Below are 27,158 nucleotides of genomic sequence, written 5' to 3'. Positions count from 1 at the left end.
AAAATTATATTATCAGTTATTAATATTGATAATTATTAGTGTCAATTAATAACTGAGATTATTAATTGCGGTAAGTCACATTGCGCCATTCCACCCCTCCCTCGGCAGCTCGTTTACGACCCAAAACGGGGATACAAATGCCCCTGAGAGAGCAGCGGTATACTGGGATAGATGAGGATGGTCACGTGGTGGAGAGGCGTGTTTTTGGGTACCAGCCCTTCACCTGCGTCGACCTTCTCAACTGGAAAACCAATACACCGCCCTATACCAAAAAGCCACAAGCCCTAATTGATTTGCTCCAAACTGTTATCCAGACCCACAACCACACCTGGGCTGATTGGCACCTGTTGCTCATGTTCCTCTTTAACAGCGAAGAAAGGCGGAGAGTCCCCAAGCAGCAACTAAGTGGCTAGAGGAACATGCATCAGCTGATTATCAAAACCCCCAAGAGTATGTAAGGACCCAGTTACCAGGAACCGACCCCCAGTTGGACCCACATGAAAGAGAGGATATGCAAAGGCTAAACCGAGACAGGGAAGCTCTCTTGGAAGGATTAATGAGGGGAGCTCAGAAGGCCACAAATGTTAAAAAGGTCTCTGAGGTCATTCAGGGAAAAGAAGAAAGTCCAGCACAATTCTACGAGAGGCTGTGTGAGGCCTATTGTATGTATACTCCCTTTGATCCCGATAGCCCTGAAATCAGCGCATGATTAACATGGCTTTAGTCCGTCAAAGCACAGAAGACATGAGAAGAAAACTGCAGAAACAGGCTGGGCTTGCAGGGATGAATACATCACAATTACTAGAAATAGCTAGCCAGGTGTTTGTAAGCAGGGATGCAGTAAGCAGTAAGGAAAACGGCAAAGAGAATGGAGGTCAGGCCCAGCAAAACACCGACCTGTTTGTTAGCTGCAGCAATCAGAGGGCCCCCCACCCAAAGAGGCAAGGGAAGGGGGGCCCTGGGAAAGAAACTCAGCTTGGCTGTCAGAGTTTGCAGCGTAACCAGTGTGCTTATTGTAAAGAAATAGGACAGCGGAAGAACAAATGCCCTCAGCTCAAAAGAAAACAAGGTGACTCAGAGCAGGAGGGCCCGGAGAAGGAGGAAGGGGCCCTGCTCAACCTGGCAGAAGGGTTATTGGCCTGAGGGAGACCGGGCTCAAGTGTCCCCAAAGAGCCTCTGGTCAGAATGACAGTCGGGGGTAGAGACATTGATTTTCTTGTAGATAGTGGTGCTGAACATTCGCTAGTAACCGCCCCGGTCGCCCCCTTATCCGAAACAACTATTGACGTCATCGGAGCCACGGGGGTTTCAGCAAAGCAGGCTTTCTGCTTGCCTCGGACTTGCACTGTAGGAGGACATAAAGTCATTCATCAGTTTTGGTACATGCCTGACTGTCCCTTGCCCTTTTTGGGAAGGGACTTGCTCAGCAAGCTGAGAGCCACTATCTCTTTGACAGAGCATGGCTCTTTGCTGCTAAAGTTACCCGGAACAGGAGTCATTATGACCCTTATGGTCCCCCGAGAGGAGGAATGGAGACTTTTCTTAACTGAGCTGGGCCAAGAGAGAAGACCAGCTCTGGCTAAGCGGTGGCCAAGAGTACGGGTGGAAGACAACCCTCCGGGATTGGCCAGTTAAGACTGGGGCCCAGCCGGTTAGGCAAAAACAGGCCCTGGTCCCCAGAGAAGCTCTTCAAGGTATCCAGGTCCATCTCAAGCACCTAAGAACTTTTGGAATTATTGTTCCTTGTCAGTCTCCATGGAACACTCCCCTCCTGCCTGTTCCCAAGCCACGGACCAAGGACTACCGGCCGGTACAGGATTTGCACTTGCTTAATCAAGCTACACTGACTTTACGTCCAACAGTACCTAACCCATCCACATTGTTGGGGTTGCTGCCAGCTGAGGACAGCTGGTTCACCTGCTTGGACCTGAAAGATGCTTTCTTTCCTATCAGATTAGCCCCTGAGAGGCAGAAGCTGTTTGCCTTTCAGTGGGAAGATCCGGAGTCAGGTGTCACTACTCAGTACACTTGGACTGGACTTCCCCAAGGGTTCAAGAACTCCCCACCATCTTCAGGGAGGCATTGGCTTGAGACCTCCAGAGTTTCCCACCAGAGACCTAGGCTGTGTGTTGCTCCAGTAGGTTAAGACACCCCACGGCGGTCGGGTGCGCCAAGGGAACAGATGCCCTACACAGGCACCTGGAGGACTATGGGTATTAGGTGTCCAAGAAGAAAGCTCAGATCTGCGGACGGCAGGTACCTTACTTGGGATTTACTATCCGAGAGGGGTCGGAATGCAGCCCTGGATCAGAAAGAAAGCAGGTCATTTGCAACCTACCAGAGCCTCAGGGCAGAAGGCAAGTGAGAGAATTCTTAGGAGCTGTGGGGTTTTGTAGACTGTGGATCCCAAACTTTGCAGTATTAGCCAAGCCTTTGTATGAGGTCACAAAGGGGGCAGGGACTGGGAACTTTTGGAATGGGGATCCCAACAACAGGAAGTCTTTCATGAGTTAAAGGAAAACCTTCTGGCAGCCCCAGCCTTGGGGCTACCCGATCTGACAAAGCCTCTTCCATTGTATGTGTCAGAGAGAGAAAAGATGGCAGCTGGACTTTTAACCCAAACTGTGGGGCCCTGGCTGAGGCCAGTGGCCTACCTCTCTAAACAACTAGATGGGGTTTCTAAAGGATGGTCCCCCTGTTTGAGGGCCTTGGCAGCAACTGCCCTGCTAGTACAAGAAGCTAATAAGCTGACTCTTGGGCAAAACCTGAACATAAAGGCCCCCCATGCTGTGGTGACTTTAATGAATACTAAAGGACATCATTCGCTAACGAATGCCAGACTCATCAAGCACCAAACTTTGCTCTGTGAAAATCCCTATATAACTATTGAAGTTTGTAACACCCTACACCCTGCCACCTTGCTCCCGGTACCAGAGAGCCCTGTCCAGCCTGATTGTGTAGAAGTGTTGGACTCAGTTGACTCTAGCACACCTGACCTCCGGGACCAGCCTTGCACATCAGTAGACTGGGAACTATATGTGGATGGGAGCAGCTTCTTCAACCCCCAAGGAGAGAGAGATGCAGGGTATGCAGTGGTAACCCTGGACACTGTTGTTGAAGCCAGATTGTTGCCCCAGGCCACTTCAGCCCAGAAAGCGGAACTCATTGCTTTCACTCGGGCCTTAGAACTCAGTGAAGGTGAGACTGTAAACATTTACACTGATTCTTGGTATGTCTTTTAACCCTTCAAGTGCATGGAGCATGATAGAAAGAAAAGGGCCTATTGAACTCTGGGGGAAAAGACAGAAAATATCAACAAGAAATCTTGCAATTATTAAAAGCAGTATGGAAACCCCACAAGGTGGCAGTCATGCATTGCAGAGGACACCAGCGAGCTTCCACCTTGCTGGGTTTGGGGAATTCCCTCGCTGACTCAGAGGCTCGAAGAAGCAGCATTTGCCCCCTTCTGGGCATCAGTGCTCCCTCAAGCACCTGATCTTGGACCTACTTCTTCTAAAGAAGAAAAGGACTTTCTCCAGGTAGAGGGAAGGACAAGTGATGGAGGGAGGATGGATTCAGTTACCAGATGTGAGAATAGCTGTGCCACAGTTGCTAGGAGCTGCAGTTGTACTGGCTGTGCAAGAAACCACCCATGTAGGTCAGGAGTCACTGGAAAAGTTGTTAGGCCGGTATTTCTACATCTCACATTTGTCAGCCCTTGCCAAAATGCTGAGGCAGCGGTGAGTTACCTGCCGAGAGCATAATGCGAGGCAAGGTCCAGCCGTTCCGCCCGGCATACAAGCTTATGGAGCAGTCCCCTTTGAAGATCTCCAGGTAGACTTCACAGAGATGCCAAAGTGTGGAGGTACCAAGTATTTACTAGTTCTTGGGCGTACCTACTCTGGGTGGGTGGAGGCCTATCAAACACAAACTGAGAAAGCTGGTGAAGTAAACCCTGTGCTCCTTCGAGATCTGATTCCTAGATTTCGACTGTCCTTACGGATCAGCTCAGATAACAAGCCTGCGTTTTTGGCTGCCTTGGTACAGAAGACGGCAAAGGTATTGGGGATCACACGGAAACTGCGTGCCGCCTCCCAGCCTCAGAGTTCCAGAAAGGTGGAGCGGATGAATCGGAGTATCAAAAATAGTACTATTGTCTTCCCCGCTGGATATTTAAAACAACACCACAAGGGGCGTCAAACCACCTGCTAAATTTGAGGGAATGTTATCCTCTCCCCCGCTCCCCTGGCCCCGGATATTAGAGACAATAACACAGGGGTCATGTACACCCACTGCTTTATTGGGAGTAATATCATCCTCTCCCTTCTTGGATATTAGGAACAATATCACACTGTGCATGTACGCCTGTCGCGAAATTCAATGGAATGTCATCCTGTGCCTCCCTGGATATGACAAACAATATCACGGGGGATGTACAACTTCTGAGATATTGGGAGTGATATCATCCTCTCCCCTCTGGAAGTTAGAGACAATATCACAGGGGTAGTGTACACCCTCTGGGATGTTGGGACTAATATCATCCTCCCACCCACTGGATATTAAAAACCATATCACAAGGGGTGTGTACACACACTTCGATATTGGTATTAATACCATCCTCTCCCTCTTTGGATATTCGATGCCATATTTCAGGTGGGGTATACACCACCTGCAATATTGGAAGTAATATGATTTTCTCCCGCCCGGATATCAGAAACAATATCACAGGGGGGTGTCAACAACCCCTGTGATATTTGGAGGAATATCATCGTCTCCCCTCATGAATATTAAGAACAATATCATAGGGGTGGGTGGTGTACACCCCCTTTCATATTTGATATCATCCTCTTCCCCCCTGGATATTAGGAACCATATCAGGATGTACAGACCCTGTGACCTTTGCTGTCATATAATTGTCTCTCCCCTAGATATTAGGAAAAATGTCACTGGGGATGTGAACAGCCTTGCAATATTGGGAGTAATATCATCCTCTCTCCCCTTGCATATTGGGAACAACATCACAGGTGGGGTGTACTGCCTCTGCGATATTGGGAGTAAAATTTTCCTCTCTTCCCCTGGACATTAGGAAGGGTATCAGAGGGGGAGGGTGTACATTCCCTGCCATATTCAAAGTAACCTTATCCTCTCCCTCCCAGGGTATTCAGAACAATAGGACAGGAGGGGTGTACACCCCCTGCGATATTGAGAGTCATATCATCCTCTTTCGCTCTGGATATTAGGAACAATGTCACAGGGTTGTGTACACCCCCTGCGGTACTGGGAGTAATATCATCCTCTCTTCCTGTGGATATTAGGAAGAGTATCACAGGGCTGTGTAAACCCCCTGCGGTACTGGGAGTAATATCATCCTCTCTCCCTCTGGATATTAGGATGATTTTCACAGGGGTGTGTACACCCCCTGCGATATTGGGAGTAATATCATCCTCTCCACCCAGGAAATGACTAACAAGGTCATGGGGGAGTGTACTTCCCCTGCGATATTGGGAGTAATGTCATCCTCCCCAAACCTGGATGTTTGCAACAAGATCACAGAGTGGGTGTACACACCCTGCGACATTGGAAGTAATATGATCCTCTCCCCAACTGGGTATTGGGAAAGATATCACAGCGCGGGTATACATTTCCTATGCTGTTGGGAGTAATATCATTCTTTCCCTTTCTGGATATGAGGAAGAATATCACAGGGGTGCTGTACAATTACTTCGATATTGGGAGTAATATCATCCTCTACTTTCCTGGATATTGGGCACAAAAACACAGAAGGGTGTACGACCCCTGCGATATTGGGAGTAATAGCATACTCTCTTTCCCTGGATGTTAGAAAACAATATCATCAGGGCTGAACACCCCCCGCGATAATGGGAGTCATATTTATTCTTTCACAGGCCATTTGGACCAATATCACAGGGGGTGTTTACAAACAGGGGTAGTGTACACCCCCTGTGATATTGGGAGTAACATCATTCTCTCCACCTCCAGATATTAAGAACAATATCCCCGCGGGAGGCGGTACACCCCCAGTGATATTGGGCATAATGTCATCCTCTCCTTCCCTGGATATTAGGAACAATATCACAGGGTGTACACCCACTGTATTATTAGGAATGATATCTCTGTAGGATATTACAATTAGTATCACAGGGTGTGCAGCCACTGTGATATTAGGAGCAACATCTTTCTACGATATTACAGACAATATCACAGGGTGTACGCCCACTCTGATGTCAGGAGCAATGTCTCCCTAGGATATCCAAAATCATACCACAGGGTGTACAATCTCTGCCTTCCAGGTTCTAAGGGATTCTCCTGCTTCGGCCTCCTGAGCAGCTAGGGTTACCCGCCACCACGCCTGGCTAATTTTTTTTTTTATTTTCACTAGAGATGGGGTTTCACCACGTCGGCCAGGCTGGTCTGGAACTCCTGACCTCAGGTGATCCGTCGGCCTCGGCCACCCAAAGTGCTGGGATTACAGGTGTGAGCCATGGCACTTGGCCAAGAGTTATATATTAAATTAATGTGGAAACACAGCTCCCATATTTGAGTGTGCATGTACTTTTATGAATAAATGATGTCAGAAAACCTAAGGATGATAATAAATATGAAAAGTAAGTGGCATGTTAAAAGGTCTTCCGATTAAGAACTCTAAGGTTCTATTTTGTTTTTAGATAATGCGGTCCTAGCTCTTGTATCATCCTTTTACATATTCTACATCAAAGGAATTTGTCGCACGGTGTCAGAATAAAACAGAGTGTATTTCACTGCTTCTTAATTTCTTTCAATTAGACTGAGATCTTTTTCTTAAAGAGAGAAGAGCATCTTCATTGCATTTTATTTTTTCTGAAAAGAGTAGGCCGTATTTTACTGAGATCATGGATTTGTTGTATATTATGTTTTGGACTTCTAAAATTCTTCAGTGGATTTTCTCTAAAGTAGTATGTACAGAAGGAGTTGAATAGCAAAAAAGTAAATCATGTAATAATTCTGAGACTTTTGGGCTTGTCACAACTGAGAAATATTGCTGGCGGTGTATGGTCCTCAAGTGTGAAAATGTTCCTTGTGAATTGCTTGCATCCAAAATATACACACAGCATTAAGGGCTGGTTTTTATCTTTTATTTTTCCAATCCTCTTTTCTTCCCAAGGTGTCCAAGTCACACAGAGCCACGGCATCTCACAGGTGTCTGAGAATTCCTCCTCCTGGGACTCTCAGAGGATCCAGAACTGCAGCCTGTCCTCGCTGGGCTGTCCCCATCCATGTATCTGGTCACAGTGCTGAGGAACCTGCTCGTCATCCTGGCTGTCAGCTCTGACTCCCACCTCCACACCCCCATGTACTTCTTCCTCTCCAACCCGTGCTGGGCTGACATCGGTTTCACTTCGGCCACGGTTCCCAAGATGACTGTGGACATGCAGTCACATATCAGAGTCATCTCTTATGCGAGCTGCCTGACACGGATGTCTTTCTTGGTCCTTTTTGCATGTATAGAAGACATGCTCCTGACTGTGATGGCCTAGGACTGCTTTGTAGCCATCTGTCGCCCTCTGCACTACGCAGTCATCGTGAATCCTCACCTCTGTGTCTTCTTAGTTTTGGTGTCCTTTTTCCTTAGCCTGTTGGATTCCCAGCTGCACAGTTAGATTGTTACAATTCACCTTCTTCAAGAATGTGGAAATCTCTCATTTTGTCTGTGAGCCATCTCAACTTCTCAACCTTGCCTGTTCTGACAGCGTCATCAATAGCATATTCATGTATTTCAATAGTACTATGTTTGGTTTTCTTCCCATTTCAGGGATCCTTTTGTCTTACTATAAAATTGTTCCCTCCATTCTAAGGATTTCATCGTCAGATGGGAGTATAAAGCCTTCTCCACCTGTGGCTCTCACCTGGCAGTTGTTTGCTTATTTTATGGAACAGGCATTGGCATGTACCTGACTTCAGCTGTGGCACCACCCCCCAGGAATGGTGTGGTGGCGTCAGTGATGTACGCTGTGGTCACCCCCATGCTGAACCCTTTCATCTACAGCCTGAGAAACAGGGACATTCAAAGCGCCCTGTGGAGGCTGCGCAGCAGAACAGTCGAATCTCATGATCTGTTCCATCCTTTTTCTTGTGTGGGTAAGAAAGGGCAACCACATCAAATCCCTACATCTGCAAATCCTGACCCTTAGTCACATTATTTTTGTGGCTTGATGGCTTTTATTCCTTTCTGCATTTCCTATGTGGATATTGTTTTCTTCGTTGTGCCTTTAACTGGAGTGGGTGAGGATTCTGGGATCCTTTGTTTAGCAGAAACCTCATGACTGAATCCTCTATACCTAGGCGGCCTCCTTTAGTTTCTGAGCAATAACCCTGTCATCCAGGTGGAATCACAGCCATCTTTTTATATACATGAAGTCCGCACTTCGTTTTGGAATTCCCTGAAAATTGACTTCATGGAAGCAATGTACAGCAGGTCCTCCAACACCATTGGTGCGTTCAAAGATGTGTAGTTATAATGTTGGTGAGGAATAAGTGGTTTCACTATACCTAATCTTGCTTAAAGGTGAAGTTTCCAAGAGACTTTCAAAGACGATAAGTGAGGACATACTGTACATCAAATTCATATCCTCTTCAGAGTTCATGTGGAATTTCTTTATAAACTGCTTCTAAAGAATCTATTTAGGCAGGTTATGTGTAGCGATCCATGTCACCGGTCCTCAATCTTGGCTTTGAGTCAAATCACCTGGGGAGCTTACAAATGATGAGGCCTGGGTCTCATTACCTCAGATTCTGATTTCCCTGCACCTATGTGAGTATGTGGATTTTTTTTTTTTTTTAAAGCACCAGAGGTGGTTGCAATGACGAAGTTTTTAGAGGCATCAAGCTCCAATGAGTAAGAACAGATGTTAATTGTAATATGATTTCTTCAAATATTATCTTCAAATGCATTGTCCATCAACACCATACAAATGTTTATTATGCTGTTGTTTCTTACCATTTAGCATTTTCTATTTTTTTCTTTTTCTTTTCTTTTCTTTTTTTTTTTTCGAGGCAGAGTTTCACTCTTGTTGCCCAGGCTGGTGGCACGGTCTCGGCTCACTGCAACCTCTGCCTCCCGTATTCAAGTGATTCTCCTGTCTCAGCCTTCCAAGTAGCTGGGATTACAGGCATGCACTACCATGCCGGCTAATTTTTTTTTTTTTTTTTTTTGGTATTTTTAGTACAGACAGTGGTTCTCCGTATTGGTCAGGCTGGTCTTGAACTCCTGACCTCAGGTGATCCGCCCGCTTCCGCCTCCCAATGTTCTGGGATTACGGGCATGAGCGACCGCGCCCAGCCACTACTTAGCATTTTCATTTTACATTTGTTGAAATTATAGATTTATACACACTTTGATGCTGCTTTGTTATACACTTGCATATACATAAGACGGGAAATAGAAAAGAATAAAATAGGCACAGTATCCCTGAAGTTTCACATTCCGAGACATGTTAAAAATATTTGCTTTTTAGAAATTTGTTTCAGTTGAGAAACTGTGGTATACACACACAATGAAGTATTATTCAGCCTAAAAAGGAATAAACAAAATCCTCTCCACTGCAGACAAAATGGATGAGATTTCAGGTCTGTATATTAAGTGAAATAAGCCAGGCACAGAATGAGAAATATTACATGTCCTCACTTATGTGTAGGAAGAAAAAAGAAAATCTTGGCCAGGTGTGGTGGCTCAGGCCTGTAATCCCAGCACTTTGGGAGGCCGAGTCGCATGGATCACTTGAGGCCAGGAGTTCGAGACCCGCCTGGCCAACATGGTGAAACCCCGTCTCTACTAAAAACACAATTAGCCCGGCGTGGTGATGCGTGCCTGTAGTCTCAGCTACTCGGAGGGCTGAGGCCCAAGAAGTGCTTGAACTCAGGAGGCGGAGGTTGCCGTGAGCCCAGATTGTGCCTGTATACTCCAACCTGGGCAACAGAAAGAGACTCCATCACACACCTACACACAAAAGGAATCTCAGGAAGGTGGAAAGTATAAAGGTGGTTAGCAGACGGTAGGAAGAAAAGGGGTGGGATGGGGAATGAAGAGAAGTGGATAATTGGGTCCCAAAATACAGAAAGATGGAATAAGTGAGTTCTAGTGTTTGATAGTACAGTATGAAAATTTTAGTTCACAAGAATTTCTTGCATGTTTCCAGATGCTTTAGTAAGAAGCTTCCTAACTTTCTCATTATGCTGGTTTTTCAGCTATTCTCTTTCTGCTCTCGAAATCATGCTGGATTTTTTGTTTTTGGTTTTTTGTTTTGAGACAGAGTTTCGCTCTTGTTGCCCAGGCTGGAGTGTAATGGTGCAATCTTGACTCACCGCAACCTCTGCCTCCTGGGTTCAAGCGATTCTCCTGCCTCCATCTCCCGAGCAGCTGGGATTACAGGCATGCCCCAGCACGCCCAGCTAATGTTATATTTGTAGTAGAGATGGGGTTTTCTTCCTGTCTGTCAGGCTGGTCTTGAACTCCTGACCTCAGGTGATCTGCCCGCCTTGGCCTCCCAAAGTGCTTGGATTACAGGTGTGAGCAACCGTGCCTGGCCCACGCTGCATCCTTATCTGTTGTCTGTTGTTGTTTGTTTGTTTTTCAGCCCAGAAATAACTTCTCACCTATATGTTCAAATGATTTTTCACATGAGTGCTAAGAAAGTCCATTGGTGGAAAAGCAGCCTTTTCAAGAAATGGTGTTGGGGAAACTTGATTTCCACATGCAGAAGAATGAAGGTGGACTCTATGTCACACCAGGTGCAAAAATTAACACAAACTGGATCAAAGACCTAACCCCAAGTGCTGAAAGTATAATATGCCTAAAAGAAAACATAGGCCACACTTTCATGACATCAGATTGGGCAATGCTTTCTGGGATATGACACCAAAAGCATAGGCAACAAAAGAAAATTAGATTCCTTGGATTACATCTAAATGACAGACACTTTTGTGCATCAGCAAACACTGTGAACTGAGTGAAAGGATAACCCATGGATTAGGAAAAATATTTGCAAATCATATCTCTGAAAAGAGGCTGATAGGCATCGTATACATAGAACAGCTAGAACTGAACAACAAGAAACCCAAAGCATCCCATTGACAATGGTCAGAAGACTCGAGTAGACGTGTCCCTAAAGAAGATATAGCAATGGCCAATAAGCGTCTAAAATGATGTTCAAAATCACTAATCATAAGGAAGTGCAAATCAAACCAAAATTGTGATACCACACATTTGGATGGATATGATAAACAAACAAGCATTGGTGAAACTAGAGGGAAGTAGGAATGCTCGAATCTGATTGGAGGGAATGTAAAACCGTGAAGGAACAGGGAAAATAGTATGGCGTGTACCGGAAAAAGTAGAAACAGGATTAGCGGATGTTCCCGCAGTTGCACTTGTGGGTACCTGCCAAAAAGAATTAGAAGCCAGGAGTGGAAGAGAGATTCGTACACCCAAATTCATAGCAGCAGTATTCACAACAGCCAAAATGTGGAAGCAACCCAAGGGTTCGTGGACAGATGAACGAAAAAGTGCACTGCAGTTCATTCATGCGATGGAAGACTTTTCAGCCTTAAAAAGGCAGGCACTTCTGGCCGGTGCGGTGGCTCACGCCTGTAATCCCAGCATCTTGGAAGACTGAGGTGGGCGGATCACCTGAGTTCAGGAATTCAAGACCAGCCTGGCCATTCTTGGTGAAACCCTGTCTCTACTGAAAATGCAAAAAATTAGACGATCGTGGTGGCGTGTGCCTATATTCCCAGCTACTCGGGAGGCTGAGGCACAAGAATCGCTGGAACCCGGGAGGCGGAGGTTGCAGTGAGCCCAGATTGTGCCACTGCACTCCAGCCTGTGCGACAGAGTGAGACCCCATGTGAACACAAAACCAAACCAAACCAAACCAAACCAAAAGAAAAAAGAAAACATCCAAACACCCAAACAGCCAGACAGGCACTTCTGACACAGGCTGCAACACGGATGAACCTTGAAGACATTCTCGTCAGTGAAATAAATAAATCCCAAAAGGATAAAGACGACCAGGCTCAGTGGCTCGCACCTGTAACCCCAGAACTTTGGGAGGCTGAGGCAGGCGGATCACTGAAGGTCAGGAGTTCAAGACCAGCCTGGCCAATATGGTGAAAGCTCGTCTCTATTAAAAATACAACAATTAGCTGGGCGTGGTGGTGCATGCCTGTAATCCCAGCCACTCAGGAGACTGAGACAAAAGAATCGCTTGAACTCACGATGTGGAGGTTGCAGTCAGCTGAGACCACGCCACTGCACTCCAGCCTGGGCGACAGAGAAAGACTCTGTCTCCAAAACAAACAAACCAGAAAAATTAAACACGCTCTGATTCCACTTATATCACGTGTCTAGAGTAGTTAAACTTATACAGTTGCAAAATAGAATGGTGGCCCCCAGGGGTGGGCGAGAGAGAGAGGAATGGAGAGTTTGGTTAATGGGTGCAATTTCCATTTTCAAGGATAAAACTGTTCTGGAGAGGATGGCGGTGATGGTTGCTAAACAATGTGAATGTACCTAATGTGATTAAACTGTAAACTGAAAAAGAGTGGAAATTGTAAATGTTTATACTGGCCATTCTATATGAAATAATCTACATTTATAATTTTTAACATTTCTACATGGTATATTTTCCCATAATAAAAGATGAAAATTAAAGCACTTGGATCTTGTAAAAGAAAGGAAAGAAGCGAATAATACACACAAGGTCTCTCCTGATTAGAGGAAGAGCTCCAGAGCTTCTATGGACACTCATTTTCCTCTTCTTCTTGCATGATGATGAGGAAATCCTTAGAGCTTGGGGAACTTGGGGGACTCTGGCTAATGAGGAGCTCTGTGCTTGAGCCCCCCACGCCATAGAATAGTAAATACTCTGTGCCTCCAGCCCTGCAGTATGAGGTTGCAGTCCTGTGGGCTCCACCCCCGTCACCCGTATCAGGAGGCTCATATCTCACCCTCCCTTCTGGCCGGCCTTGAGGACGGAGTCTGAGCCTCCAATGTGCACCATGCAGGGAGGACAGTGGACCTGTTCTCCGTGGTCATGGCCCAGCAGAGGGGAAGGGCAGTTCAGTGAGTGCTGAGGGACCGTCGGGAGCCTTGTTTGTTTCCTCATCCTCAGGACAAACAGGAGAGTGCCGTGGGCAGATGGGAGGAGACCAATGTGCAAACTGTCAGCTCAGCAGACTGTGGAGTTTCAGTTCTTGGTTGTGGTGGGGGGTCTCTCTCAGGAATCTTCTTCAAAATTTTGCTTCCCTCCCCCACTGGTTGTCCTTTTCATAGACATCTCACCCACGATAGCAGGGAATGAGTCCCTCTAAACTATTCCCTTGGAACAACAAAAAGATGATGAAGGTGATGATGAGGATAAAGAGGATGATGACAGACACCATGGCATCATGAACCCTTACTGAGGGCTTCCTAAAGGCCAGGCTCTGAGCTCTGTGCTCTATGCAGCTTGTTTCATTTCATCTGCTTAGTCTCCCAGTTATTAGTGCACATTTCATGATTATTTTACAGACTAGAAAAGGAGCAACACATTTTCATATAACTTGCACCAGATCATGAAGTCAAAAAGGGTGAAGCCCAATTTGAACCAGGCAGTCTAAGGCCAGACACATGGCATTTGGCCAGTCCTCTCCCTGCATCCAACCTGCCCTCTCAAATCCTTGTCACTCAGGCCGATGCCCCTGCTCACTGTGCCCTTCCCTTTGGGGGTTCCTTGTAGGCCACAGCTAGACCAGTGGGTGCCACAATCACTGTGTCAAGTATGGAAAGGGCAGCTGAGATGAGATCACATCAAAGATTCCAGAAAGAATTGGCACAGGATCATTCGGGAGGCATCTCTCCCTTGCCCCTGTTCCTGGCTTTCCTTACAGCTCTCGACTTCCTCAAAGGAGTCATAAATTCGGGGTTTGGCTTCCATTCCTATTGAGGAAGCTGGAAACCATTTCAAAAATGCTCCTCAGATGTGCCCATGGTTAAGACCTCTGAGCTCTGTTGAAAACTTTTGGAAGCTGGGCGCGGTGGCTCACGCCTGTAATCCCAGCACTTTGGGAGGCTGAGGCAGGTGAATTACAAGGTCAAGTGTTCGAGACCAGCCTGGCCAACATGGTGAAAACCCGTCTCTCCTAAAAAGAGAAAAATATTAGCCGGGCGTAGTGGCTGGCGCCTGTCATCTCAGCTACTCGGTAGGCTGAGGCAAGAGAATAGCTTGAACCTGGGATGCGGAGGTTGCAGTGAGCCGAGATCACTCCACTGCACTCCAGCCTGGGTGACAGAACGAGACTCCGTCTCAAAAAACCAAAGAAAAGCAAAAACAAAAAAGAACCCACAACATTTTGAGGGTTGGGAGACCATCAAGCATAGTGCCCGGGTCTTAGAGTCTGGCCATTAATTTTCAGTACCACCCTTTCTACTTATCTGTATGGCAAGGGGTGAGACGTCCATCCTCTGAGACTCAGCACTCTCATCTGAGTTGATTTCTAGTTGATCCAATGGAAGTGAGCGATGATTAAACCGATCGTGGGTGCCCGCTGCATGATCTCCATGTGATGGATGCGTAAAGTAAAGGCAAAGTGAATTTTAGATACATTTGTTAATATTTTAAGCTTAAACTCCATACGGTTCAACGGAAATATCCCCTGACCAGAAGTTCTGGTTTCTCTGCGTTCCAGACAGGACATTTTCTTTTGTCCTTATCTCAGTAAGTACTGAGTATTGTGAGAGGAACAAGTGAGTCTCTTTTGTTTCTGATTCCCCAGAGCCTATATCTTGCTTGGCACAAAGGAGATAGCAAAAGTAAACATCTATGTGAATTATCGAATTGACACTTCCTTGGTTCACAAAAATTGGCTGTCATCAGTGTGACAGAGAGTGTGTTTTTGGTTTTTTGTTTTTTGAGACGGAGTTTTGCTCTTGTTGCCCAGGCTGGAGTGCAGTGGTGTAATCTCGGCTCGCTGTAGCCTCTGCCTCCCAGGTTCAAGCCATTCTCCTGCCTCAGCTTCCCGAGTAGCTGGGACTGCAGGCGCACGCCGCCATACTGGGCAAAGTTTTTGTATTTTCAGTAGAGGCGGAGTTTCACCATGTTGGCCGGGATGGTCTTGATCTCCTGACCTCGTGATCCGCCCTCCTCGGCCTCCCAAAATGCTGGGATCAGACGCATGAGCCACCGCGGCCGGTCAAATGTTCTGATGAAAACTCTAAGTCCACCGAAGCTAAGGACAGGAGTTATAGCTTACATTAATTTTAAAACCAGACCCACCGATTTGAGTAAGCAATTACTCTCTTGAAGGAGAAAAGTCAGAAAACATAATGATGAAATCACTAGGACCTAACTGGCCTGTGGAACTATTTTCTGCTTATGAACTATCAACTTTAATTTCATTTCCAGATGGCATGGTCTCAGCAGTTATACAGTGTTTACAGATGTTCTAAATCAAGGGAATTTGTATCAATCTATTCGAATAAAATAAAATATTTGAGTTCTTAATTTCCTTTAATTAGGATAACCTTTTTCTTAAAGTGAAGAGAATGGTTTTATTACATAGTTTCCTTTGGTAAAGATAGGCTGTCTTTTCTAGCAATTACGAATTTGTTATATATGATGATCTGGTTCTTGGAACATCCTTGAATCTAGTGTCTCTGGGGCAGGTGTGTAGAGCAAGAAGTGAATAACACAGAAATCAATGATGAAAGCATTAGAAGACAGTTGAGTTTGTCAGAACTGCAAAATATTGGTGACTGTGGATTGCTCTGAAATCTGAAAATATTACTTGTGATTTGCTTCTATCCAAAATGCAGACATGATGCTGGGTGTTGGTTTACTTGTTTCCGATTTCTCAACCCTCTTTTCTAGGCAAAAGGTGTCCAATCTCTACAGACCCACAGAATCTAATAGATGTCTCTATATTCCTCCTCCTAGAACCTCAGAGGATCCAGAACGGCAGCTGGTCCTTGCTGGGCTGTTCCTGTCCATGTGCCTGGTCACGGTGCTGGGGAACCTGCTCATCATCCTGGCCGTCAGTCCTGACTCCCACCTCCACACCCCCATGTACTTCTTCCTCTCCAACCTATCCTTGCCTGACATCGGTTTCACCTCCACCACGGTCCCCAAGATGATTGTGGACATCCGATCTCACAGCAGAGTCATCTCCTATGCAGGCTGCCTGACTCAGACATCTCTCTTTGCCATTTTTGGAGGCATGGAAGAGAGACATGCTCCTGAGTGTGATGGCCTATGACCAGTTTGTAGCCATCTGTCACCCTCTATATCATTCAGCCGTCATGAACCCTTGTTTCTGTGGCTTTCTAGTTTTGTTGACTTTTTTTTTTTTCTCAGTCTTTTAGACGCCCAGCTGCACAACTTGATTGCCTTACAAATGACCTGCTTCAAGGATGTGGAAATTCCTAATTTCTTCTGTGACCCTTCTCCACTCCCCCATCTTGCATGTTGTGACACCTTCACCAATAACATAATCATGTATTTCCCTGCTGCCATATTTGGTTTTCTTCCCATCTCGGGGACCCTTTTCTCTTACTATAAAATTGTTTCCTCCATTCTGAGGGTTTCATCATCAGGTGGGAAGTATAAGGCCTTCTCCACCTGTGGGTCTCACCTGTCGGTTGTTTGCTGATTTTATGGAACAGGCATTGGAGGGTACCTCAGTTCAGATGTGTCATCTTCCCCGAGAAAGGCTGCGGTGGCCTCAGTGATGTACACGGTGGTCACCCCCATGCTGAACCCCTTCATCTACAGCCTGAGAAACAGGGATATTAAAAGTGTCCTGCGGTGGCTGCACGGCAGCTCTGTCTAATCTCAACATCTTCTTATCTGTTGCATTCCTTTTGTAGTGTGGGTTAAAAAAGGCAGCAAGGTCAAATAAGAATGATATCACAGGGTGAACACCCACTGTGATATTAGGAGTAATACCTCCCTAGGATATAGAATATACTGTCACAGAGTATACACACATGGGGTACACCCACTGTGATATTAGAAGCAATATCTCCCTAAAGTATGAGGAAAAACATCACAGGGTGTGCACACTTTGTGATATGAGGAGTAATATTTACCCTGGATATTACGACTATTATCAAGGGTGTACACACACGGGGTACACGCACTGTGATATCAGGAGTTGTATCTCCCTAGGATATTATGAATACTATCACAGGGTATACACTATGTGTGTACGTCCACTGTGATATTTGAAGTAATGTCTCTCTATGAGATTATAAATAACATCAAAGCCTGTACACCCCTGTGACATATTAGGAGTAACATCCTTCTAGGGTATTCAGATAACGTCACAACGTGTACACCTTCTGTGATGTTTTGTACACTCTTTGTGACATTAAAAGAAACATCCCCCTAGGATATTATGAATAATAACACAGGAGGGGTACACACATGGTGTACACCGCCTGTGTCATCAGGAGTAACATTCCCCTAGGATATTACGAATAATATCACAGCAGGTGTACACACATGGTGTACACCCCATGTGACATTCGGAAGAGCATGCCCCTAGGATATTAGGAATAGTATCACGAGTGTTGAATACGCATCTTTAATGTGCAATGTCACACCCGGTGACATTAAAAATAACATCCCCCTTGGATATTACGAATAATATGACAGGGAGTACACCCCGTGTGACATTCCCCGAGGATATAACGAATAATATCAGAGGGTGTACATGCATTGCGACCTTAGTAGTAACATCTCTTTAGGATATTACAAATAATATCACAGGGTGTACAGGCATTGTGACATTAGTAGTAACATCCCGCTGGGATATGACAAGTCATATCATAGGGTGTACACTGCCGTGACAATAGTAGCAACATTCCCCTAGAATATTAGAAATAATATCACTGGAGGTACAGCCCCTGTGATTTATGAGTAGCATGTCTATAGAATATTACAACTCATATCACTGTGTGACTCTGTGTACACCCCGTGTGACTTTAGGAGTCACACATCACTCTGACTTTTAATTTTTCTGTCTCCCTCCTTCACTTTAAGAACTCTAGCACTGAAGGACTTCAGGAAATACCACCCCTAACACCTGCCAGTTTCATATGCTGATTACTTCAAACTGAGGGCTCATGGGGAAGAACAAATGCAGACAAGGGCTTTCTCTGAGTTCCCCTTGTCTGCTTAAAGACAGACCTCAATTGTCATGAATTCCCTCCCTGGGAATCTTATCAACCAGAGATGAACTCTCCAGGGAAGATGAATACCATGCCCACAGTGACTATCACATGTTCTTCCACCAGCTGCTTTTATTACCTGAGAGGCTTTTATCTTCATAACAAGACAACCTTGACTCACCATACAATTCCTCCCCTAACCCTCCATGACTTGTGTTGACACCACCCCCACCCTTGCTAGAAGGCCCACACCCCCATACTTTTTTTGTAGTTCAGAATGCTATAAAAACATCAACCATGGAGTCTCATATTTGGTGGGACTCCCATGTGTATGTACTGATATGGTTTTGTTCTGTGTCCCTACTCAAATCTCATCTTGAACCGTAATCTGAATTGTAATCCCCACATGTTGCGGGAGGGACCTCGTGGAGGTGATTAGATCACAGGAGCATTTCCTCCATGCTGTTCTTATGATGGTGAGTGGGTTCTCATGAGAGATAATGGTTTTATAAAGGGCTTTTCCCACCTTCGCTCTGCACTTCTCCTTCCTGCTGAAAGTGAAGAAGGTGCCTTTCTTCCCATTTGCCTTAACCATGAGTGTAAGTTTCCTGAGGCTTTCCCAGCCATGTGAAACTGTGAGTCAATTAAATGTCTTTCTTTTATAAATTACCCAGTCTTGATAGCAGCACAAGAATGAACTAATACAGTAACTTAGTACCAGGAGTGGAGTGCTGATATAATAATACTCGAAAATGTGGAAGTGACTTTGGAACTCAGGAACAGGCAGAGGGTAGAAGAGTTTGGAGGGCTCAGAAGAAGACACAAAGATGTGGGAAAATTTGAAACTTCCTAGAGAGTTGTTGAACAGCTTTGACCAAAATGCTGATAGTGATATGGACAATTGTTGGGAACAGTCCCCCCAAAATCTGGCCATAACTGGCCCCAAAACTGGCCATAAACAAAATCTCTGCAGCACTGTGACATGTTCATGATGGCCATAATGCCCACGCTGGAAGGTTGTGGATTTACCAGAATGAGGCCAAGGAACACCTGGCCCACCCAGGGCGGAAAACATCTTAAAGGCATTCTTAAACCACAAACAATAGCATGAGCGATCTGTGCCTTAAGGACATGCTCCTGCTGCAGATAACTAGCCAGACCCATCCCTTTATTTTGGCCCATCCCTTCATTTCCCATATGGATACTTTCACTTAATCTAATATCTATAGAAACAATGCTAATGACTGGCTTGCTGTTAATAAATACGTGGGTAAATCTCTGTTTGGAGCTCTCAGCTCTGAAGGCTGTGAAACCCCTGATTTCCCACTTCATGCTTCTACATTTCTGTGTGTGTATCTTTAGTTCCTCTAGTGCCACTGGGTTAGGGTCTCCCCGACCAAGCTGGTCTCAGCAGACAATGGCATCCAGACTGAGGTGGTCTCAGATGGAGATGAGAAACTTGTTGGGAAATGGAATAAAAGTGACTCTTGCTATGCTTTAATGAAGAGACTGGTGGCATTTTGCCCCTGCCCTAGAGATCTGTGGAACTTTGAACTTGAGAGACATGATTTAGGGTATCTGGGGGAAGAAATTTCTAAGTGGCAAAGTGTTCAAGAGAAAGCAGAGCATAAAACTTTGGAAAATTTGCATCCTGATGATGCGATAGAGAAGAAAAACCTATTTTCTGGGGAGAAATTCAAACTGGCTGGAGAAATTTGCATAAGTAACAAGGTACCAAATGTTAATTGCCAAGCAGTGGGAAAAATGTCTCCAGGCCATGTCACAGACCTTCATGGCAGCCCTTTCCATCACAGGCCTGGAGACCTAGGAGGGAAAAATGCTATTGTGGGCCCATCCTCGGGCCCTCTTTCTCTATGAAGCCTTGGAACATGGTGTCCTCTATCTCAGCTGCTTCAGCTTCAGCCATGGCTAAAAGGGGCCAACATACAGCTCAGGCTGTTGATACAGAGGGTGCAAGCCCCAAGCCTTGGTGACTTACATGTGGTTTTGGGCCTGTGGGTACACAGAAGTCAAGAATTGAGGCTTGGGAACCTCCACCTAGATTTCAGAGGATGTATGGAAATGCCTGGATGTCCAGGCAGAAGTTTGCTGCAGGGACAGAGCCCTCATGGAGAACCTCTGCTAGGGCAGTGTAGAAGGGCAAAGTGGAGTCAGAGCCTCCACACAGAGTCCCCATTGGGGCACTGCATAGTAGAGCTGTGAGAAGAGGGCCACTGTCCACCAGACCCCAGAATGGTAGATCCACTGACAGCTTGCATTGTGTGCCTGGAAAAGCCTCAGGCAGTCAACACAAGCCCATGAAAGCAGCTGGGAGGGGGGCTGTACCCTGCAAAGCAACAGGGGTGGAGATGCCCAAGGCTGTGGGAACCCATGTCCAGATAACTCAAGATATGTGCAAAAATAATTGCAACCTAATATATTGACATAAGGCAGATTAATGGGGAAAAAGCATTTTAATTATGTACATGTATTAGTCCATTCTCATGCTGCTCTAAAGAACTGCCTGAGACTGGGTAATTTATAAAGGAAAGAGGTTTAATTGACTCACAGTTTGGCATGGCTGGGAAGGCCTCAGGAAACTTAAATCATGGCTGAAAGCAAAAGGGAAGAAAGGCTTCTTATTCACATGCCAGCAGGAAGAAGAAGTGCAGAGCAAAGGGGGAAAAAGCCCTTTATAACACCAACAGATCTCAAGAGAACTCACTCACTATCATGAGAACAGTATGGAGGAATCATCCTCATGATCTAATCAACTCCCATGAGGTCCCTCCCCCAACACATGGGGATTACAATTTGGATTACAATTCAAGATGAGATTTGAGTGGGGACACAGAGCCAGGCCATATCATTCTGCCCCAGCCCCTCCCAAATCTCATCCTTCTCACAGTTCAAAACACAATTATGCCTTCCCAAGAGTCTTCCAAAGTCTTCATTCATTTCAGCATTAACCCAAAAGTCCAAGTCCATAGTCTCATCTGAGACTAAACAAGTCCCTTCTGCCTGTGAGCCTGTAAAATCAAAAGTAAGTTAATTACTTCCTAGATACAATGGGGGTAGAGGCATTTGGTAAATACACACATTCCAAATGGGAGAAATTGGCCAAAACAAAGGAGCTACAATGTCCAGAAGTTATCCTATGTGGTCTGAAATGGGGAGGAACCCTTAGTTCCAGGAATTTCCCACCCCCTTCCCTGAGAGCTCATGAATAATCTAACCTTTGTTTAGCATGTGATCAAAAAATAACCATAAAAATTGCAAACCAGCAGACTTCAGGGCTGCTCTCCCTAAGGAGTAGCCACCCTTTTATTCCTTTACTTTCTTAATAAACTTGCTTTTACTTTATCAACTTGTTCTTGAATTCCTTCCTGCGTGAAGCCAAAAACCCAGGTGGCCTCCCAGGCTAAAACCCAATTTTGGGGATCACCCTATGATCCATCCTGGGGCACAATTCCTCTACAACCGTGGACTAAAGAAAAAAGTTATCTACTCCTAAAATACAATGGTGGGATATGCATAGGATAGCAGATAGAGATATTCTCACTTAAAAAGGGAGAGAATTGAAGGTAAAATGAGTTACTAGTTCCAAGTAATTTCAAAATCCAACCTGACAAACTCCATAGGCTTCAAAACCTTGGAATAATTATCTGTGGTTCTTGACTCTGTCCTGAGCTCACAGCTCCATTCTCTGAGTTTGCTGGTCTTCCCTCTGTGAGGTTTTTGTTGTTGTTGTTGTTTGTTTGTTCTTTTTTTATAATCACAAAAGGCAGCACATGCTTGCAGCTGATCAGTTTGCTTCTGATCCCTGTTTTCTGTCTGGAGAAGCATAAAGGTCCATCAGCCATCTTTTAGTCTGCTCTTTTTGACTTTTTTGGTCCATGATGGCTATATTTCTACTGATATTATAGTCTCAGGAACTTTGTAGGCCTCTTGTATGTCTCACCAGGATTCACTTCATTCCACAGATCATTCCTAAGTAATCCCATATCTATTTTTGGCATCTGCTAACTAAGGGGAATCTATAAGTTACACCCTAAATTTCTCAAAGATTGAATATTCTGACATCCTGCTCTTTCTCTGATATTAGCAAAAGGTTGTGCAGCTACATTCCAGACTTTTTCTCCAGAGCATTATTTTTTAACAGAGAATCTCTTCACTTTAGCATCATTTGAAATTTTGGAAAGTTGCAAATTTCACCAATTGTCATGACCTGGTCTGACTGCTCTCCTTCCCTGCTTTTTAAAACAGTTCTTCCCTCAATTTATTTCTTTTCTTTCATATTTTACTGTATGCAACAAGAAGTAACCAGGCTTTGTCTTCGAAACTTTGGAAATCTCAGATAAGTAAACAAGTTTGTTGCTTAAAGTTTCACTTTCCACATAATTATAGGACACAATTTAGTTGATCTTTCTGTCACTATACAACAAAAATCCCCTTTTCTCTAGTTTCCAATAATACATTCCTCACTTCCTTCTGCACCCTCCCCAGCAGCACCTTTAACATCCATATTTCTACCACCAATCTGTTTCTGATGATGTAGGTATTCTCTAGATGATGTATATTTTCTCCACCCTACATCTTACTTCCTTCTAAGTCATCCATAACAGAGTCATTAATGTTTATATTTATATAGGTCTGTACAAGGCTGTCTAACTTTTCCTATTACGTTCCTTAAAATTCTTCCTGCCTAGTTCTCAATTCCAAAATTACTTCTACATTTTTAGGAATTTGTTACGGTAGCACTCCACCTCCAGGTACTGAAATCTAATAGTTGCCTATTGCTGCTGCAAAAATTATTTGTTTATTGCTGCTGCACATGCTTAGTGGCTTAAAAGAGCATGAATTTATTGTCTTATGGTTTTCTAGGCCAGAAGTCTGATAAAAGTCTCACATGATTAAAATTAAGATGTTGGCAGAGATGCATTCCTCTCTGGAGTCTCTAGGGGAGAATTCATTTTCCTGCTCTCCCCAGCTTCTAGAGGCCACCTGCTTTTATTGGCTCATTGCCCATTCTTCATCCTCAAAGCTGCATCCTTATCACATCAAATCACTCTAACGCTGACCCTCCTGCTGACCTCTTTCCTTTCTAAGGATACTGGACTCCCCTGGATATTTCAGGATAATCTCTCTATTTTAAGGTAGGTTGATTAGCAAACCTAATTCTGCTTTGCCATGCAATATAACATATTCTCAGGTTCCAGGGATTAAGATGTGGCCACTTTTTTGCAGGGGTATGGTGCCTTGATTTGCCTTTTGCATAAGATACATAAAGACAAAGGCATTACCCACACTCCTGGGAGATATGAAGTTAAAAACACCACCTTGGGAGTAAAGCTAAATGCGCCCACCACCACACTTGGCTACTTTTTTGTATTTTTAGTAGAGACAGGGTTTCACCACGTTGGCCAGGCTGGTCCCAAACCTCTGACCTCAGGAGATCCACCCGCCTTGGCCTCCCAAAGTGCAAGGATTACAGGTGTGAGCCACCGCACCTGGCCCATGTTAACCTTTTATAGCCACACCCACTTTCCTCCTGTCCCAATCCTTGACACCTGGCAACCACTACTATGTGCTCCATTTCTATAATTTTTTCATTACCAGGATGATATATAAATGGAATCATACAGTGTGTAACATTTTGGGATTGATTTTTCTCACTCAGCATAATTCTCTGGAGATTCATTGAGGTTGTTATGTGTATCAACAGTTCTTTTTATGGCTGAGTAATATTCCATGGTATGGCTATTTCACAGTTTTTAAATCATTCACCTACTGAACAACATCTGGGTTCTTTCCAGTTTGGGGCTATTATACATAAAACTGCTATGAACATTCATATGCAGGTTTTTGTGTGGAAATAAGTTTTACTTCTCTGGGACAGATGGCCAGGAGTAAAGTTTCTTGGTCACATGGTAATGCATGCTTAGTTTTTTGTTGTTGTTGTTGTTGTTTTTTTGAGATGGAGTCTCACTCTGTTGCCCAGGCTGGAGTGCAGTGACGCGATCTCGGTTCGCTGCAACCTCCACCTCCTGGGTTCAAGGAATTCTCCTGCCTCAGCCTCCCAAGTAGCTGGGACTGCAGGCACATGCCGCCATGCCCAGCTGATTTTTTGTATTTTAGTAGAGATGGGGTTTCACCGTGTTGCCCAGGCTGCTCTCGAACTCCTGAGCTCAGACAATCTGCCTGCTTCGGCCTCCCAAAGTGCTGGGATTACAGGCATAAGCCACTGCACCTGGCCTGTGCATGCTTAGTTTTAAAAGAAAATGCCAAACTGGTTTTCAGTGTGGCTCAACGGCTTTACATTCCTACCAGCAACGTGTGAAAGATCCAGTTTCTCTACACCTTTGCCAGCATTTGGTGTTGCCACTACATCTTATTTTAGCCATTCTGATAGGTATGTAGTAACACCTCATTGTGGCTTTAATTTCCTTAACGGTTGATGATGCTAATTTTTTAGCACGCTTATTTGTAACCTGTGTATGCCCCTCAGCAAAATGTCTGTTTATCATTTGGCCATTTTCTGGTTGTAATGTTTGCATTTTTTAACTGTTGAGTTTTGAGAGTTTTTATACATTCAAAATACTAATCTTTTGTTGAATATGTGGCTTTTAAATACTTCCTCTTATTGTAGCTTGCCTTTCATCCTTTCTAATGAGGTCTATGGCAGAGTACAAGATTTTAATTTTGACGAACTCCAGTTTATCAATTTTTTTTTATGGATCATACTTTTGGTCTTAACTTGAGGAGCTCTTTGCCCAGCAACAGATCTTAAAGATTTTCTCCTACTTTTTTTTGGAAAAATTTCATACTTTTACATTTTATAATTTAAGTCATATTCATTTTAAGTTAAATTTTACATTATGTATGAGACTTGGTTCTTTTTTTTTTTTTTTTTTTCAGACAGAGTTTCACTCTGTCACCCAGGCTGGAGTGTAAGGGCGCGATCTCCCCTCACCGCAACCTCCACTTCCTGGGTTCAAGTGATTCTCCTGCCTCAGCCTCCAGAGTAGCTGGGATTACAGGCATGTACCACCACTCCCAGCTAATTTTTTTTTTTTTTTTGTATTTTTAGAGATGGGGTTTCACCATGTTGGCCAGGCTGGTCTCAAACTCTTGACCTCAGGTGATCCACCTGCCTTGGCCTCCCAAAGTGCTGGGATTACAGGCATGAGCCACCATGCCTGGCCTTAGTTGTTTTCACACTTTTGTGTAAAAAATTAGTTGGACATATTTGCATGGTTTTGTGGATTAGGTATTCTAGCATATTGATCTATCTGTGTTGATCTCTCTGCCAAAATCTATATAGCCTTGATTAGTGTGGCTATAAAGTGATTGATAATTCTCTCATGTTACTCTGTATTTTCAAAATTGTTTTAGTTATTTTTGTTTCTTTGTATTTTTCACATAAAATTTAAATAATCTTGTCTATATAACGAATGCAGTTGGCATTTTGATAGAAATTGCATTAAACTTATGAATCAATTTGGGGAGAAATGACATCTTTACTATGTTGAGTCTTCCAATGCATGAACACAGTATGCCTCTTTATTTATTTAGATGTTGGTTTTCTTTCTTCAGTGTTGCACAGATTTTTGCATAAAAGTTCTATGTTCTATACAAGTTTTGCTAGAGTTATACTTTAGTATCGAGACAGCCAAGTATAAAGGGGTCTCTGAAGAACCTCGGACCAGCCCACAGACTGGGAGAATGGGGTGCAGCTGTGGGAATTTGGCGCCCTTTGCAGCTGGGAGGAGCTTGGCCTCTCCTGTTCCAGGGTGGTATCTGGGATTCAATCTGTGAGGTGGGAAACTGGCTAGCAGGACTCTCGCTTTCCTGAGAGTCGCTGTTTCCTTTTCTTTTCCTTTTTGTCCAATAAATCCCATTTTTCTCACCCTTCAAACTGTCTGCAAACCTAATCTTTCCTGATTGTGTGACAAGGACCCTAAGGAAAAAGTCCTACCACAGTATTTATTTTAGTTTTTTTTTTTTTTTTTTTTAGCAATTATAAATGGCACTGTTCATTGTTAGTATAGGGAAATACAATTGATTGTTGTGCATTTATCTCTTGTATCCTGTGACTTATTGAATTTGCTTACTATTTCTAGTCATTTTTTGGTAAGTTCTTGGATTTTATAAATAGAAAATTATGTCATCTACAAGTAAAGAAAGTTTTATTTTTTCCTTTCTTATCTCTATGTATTTTATTTCCTTTTCTGTCCTTAGTGCACAGCCTAGAACTTCCAGAAGTAACAACTGTTGAAAAACAGTGGGAAAGTGGACGTCCTTACCTTGTTTCTGATCTTAGGGGAAAAGTATGACATATTTAATCACTAAGTATAATGATATCTGTAGGCATTTTGTAGGTGTTCTTTATCAACTTGAGGAAGTTTTCCTCTATCCCTGTTTTTCTGAAAGTTTTTCCCATGAAATCCAATGCCTTCTCTGTACGTATTGATACAATTATGTAATTTTTCTTGTTAGTGTTTTAATATAGTAGATTACACTGATTGATCCCATGTCTGTCCCATCTTCCCAGAAGGAGAAATCCCCAAGCAGGCAGATTTTGGCAAAATTCTCAGTAAATTTGAAAAATACATTTTCTGATGAGAGATTAAAACTAATCTTACCAATTTCCAAGGAGAACAATAGATGAAGGTCAAAATCTACCTCAGTCTTCAACATCCAAAGGTTCAATCTTCACAAGAAAATTATTCACAGAAAAATTATTTAAAACTTTAAGGAAATGGTTAATTCTGATAACATTTACATTTTTTGTAAAACGAAAGAATACACAGTTTTTAAACTAAAGTTAAAATATTACCCCATGACACAGATATAATAAAAATAAATATGTGCAAATTACAAATCCTTTTCACTTATGCATGTAACACTTAATCACATTTAACAGATCAAAGAAGAAAAATAATATGATGATTTT

The 27,158-nt window shown here is 44.0% G+C and overlaps 2 pseudogenes, besides 1 other annotated feature; both read left to right on the top strand.

Annotated features, from left to right (window-relative positions):
• Nucleotides 3,090-3,149: an enhancer, noted in NCBI's record as "active region_28571". NCBI's record gives its function as "activates an Ori minimal core promoter by ATAC-STARR-seq in GM12878 lymphoblastoid cells {active_cell/tissue: GM12878}" and the evidence as "EXISTENCE:reporter gene assay evidence [ECO:0000049][PMID:35858748]".
• Nucleotides 7,119-8,141, top strand: OR7E108P (olfactory receptor family 7 subfamily E member 108 pseudogene; annotated as a pseudogene).
• Nucleotides 15,911-16,857, top strand: OR7E109P (olfactory receptor family 7 subfamily E member 109 pseudogene; annotated as a pseudogene).

Source organism: Homo sapiens, chromosome 9, assembly GCF_000001405.40.
Source record: "Homo sapiens chromosome 9, GRCh38.p14 Primary Assembly".
In the NCBI taxonomy this organism is placed as follows: Eukaryota; Metazoa; Chordata; class Mammalia; order Primates; family Hominidae; genus Homo; species Homo sapiens.
Note: the sequence above shows the minus strand (reverse complement) of the source record. Positions and strands in the feature narration are given on the sequence as shown.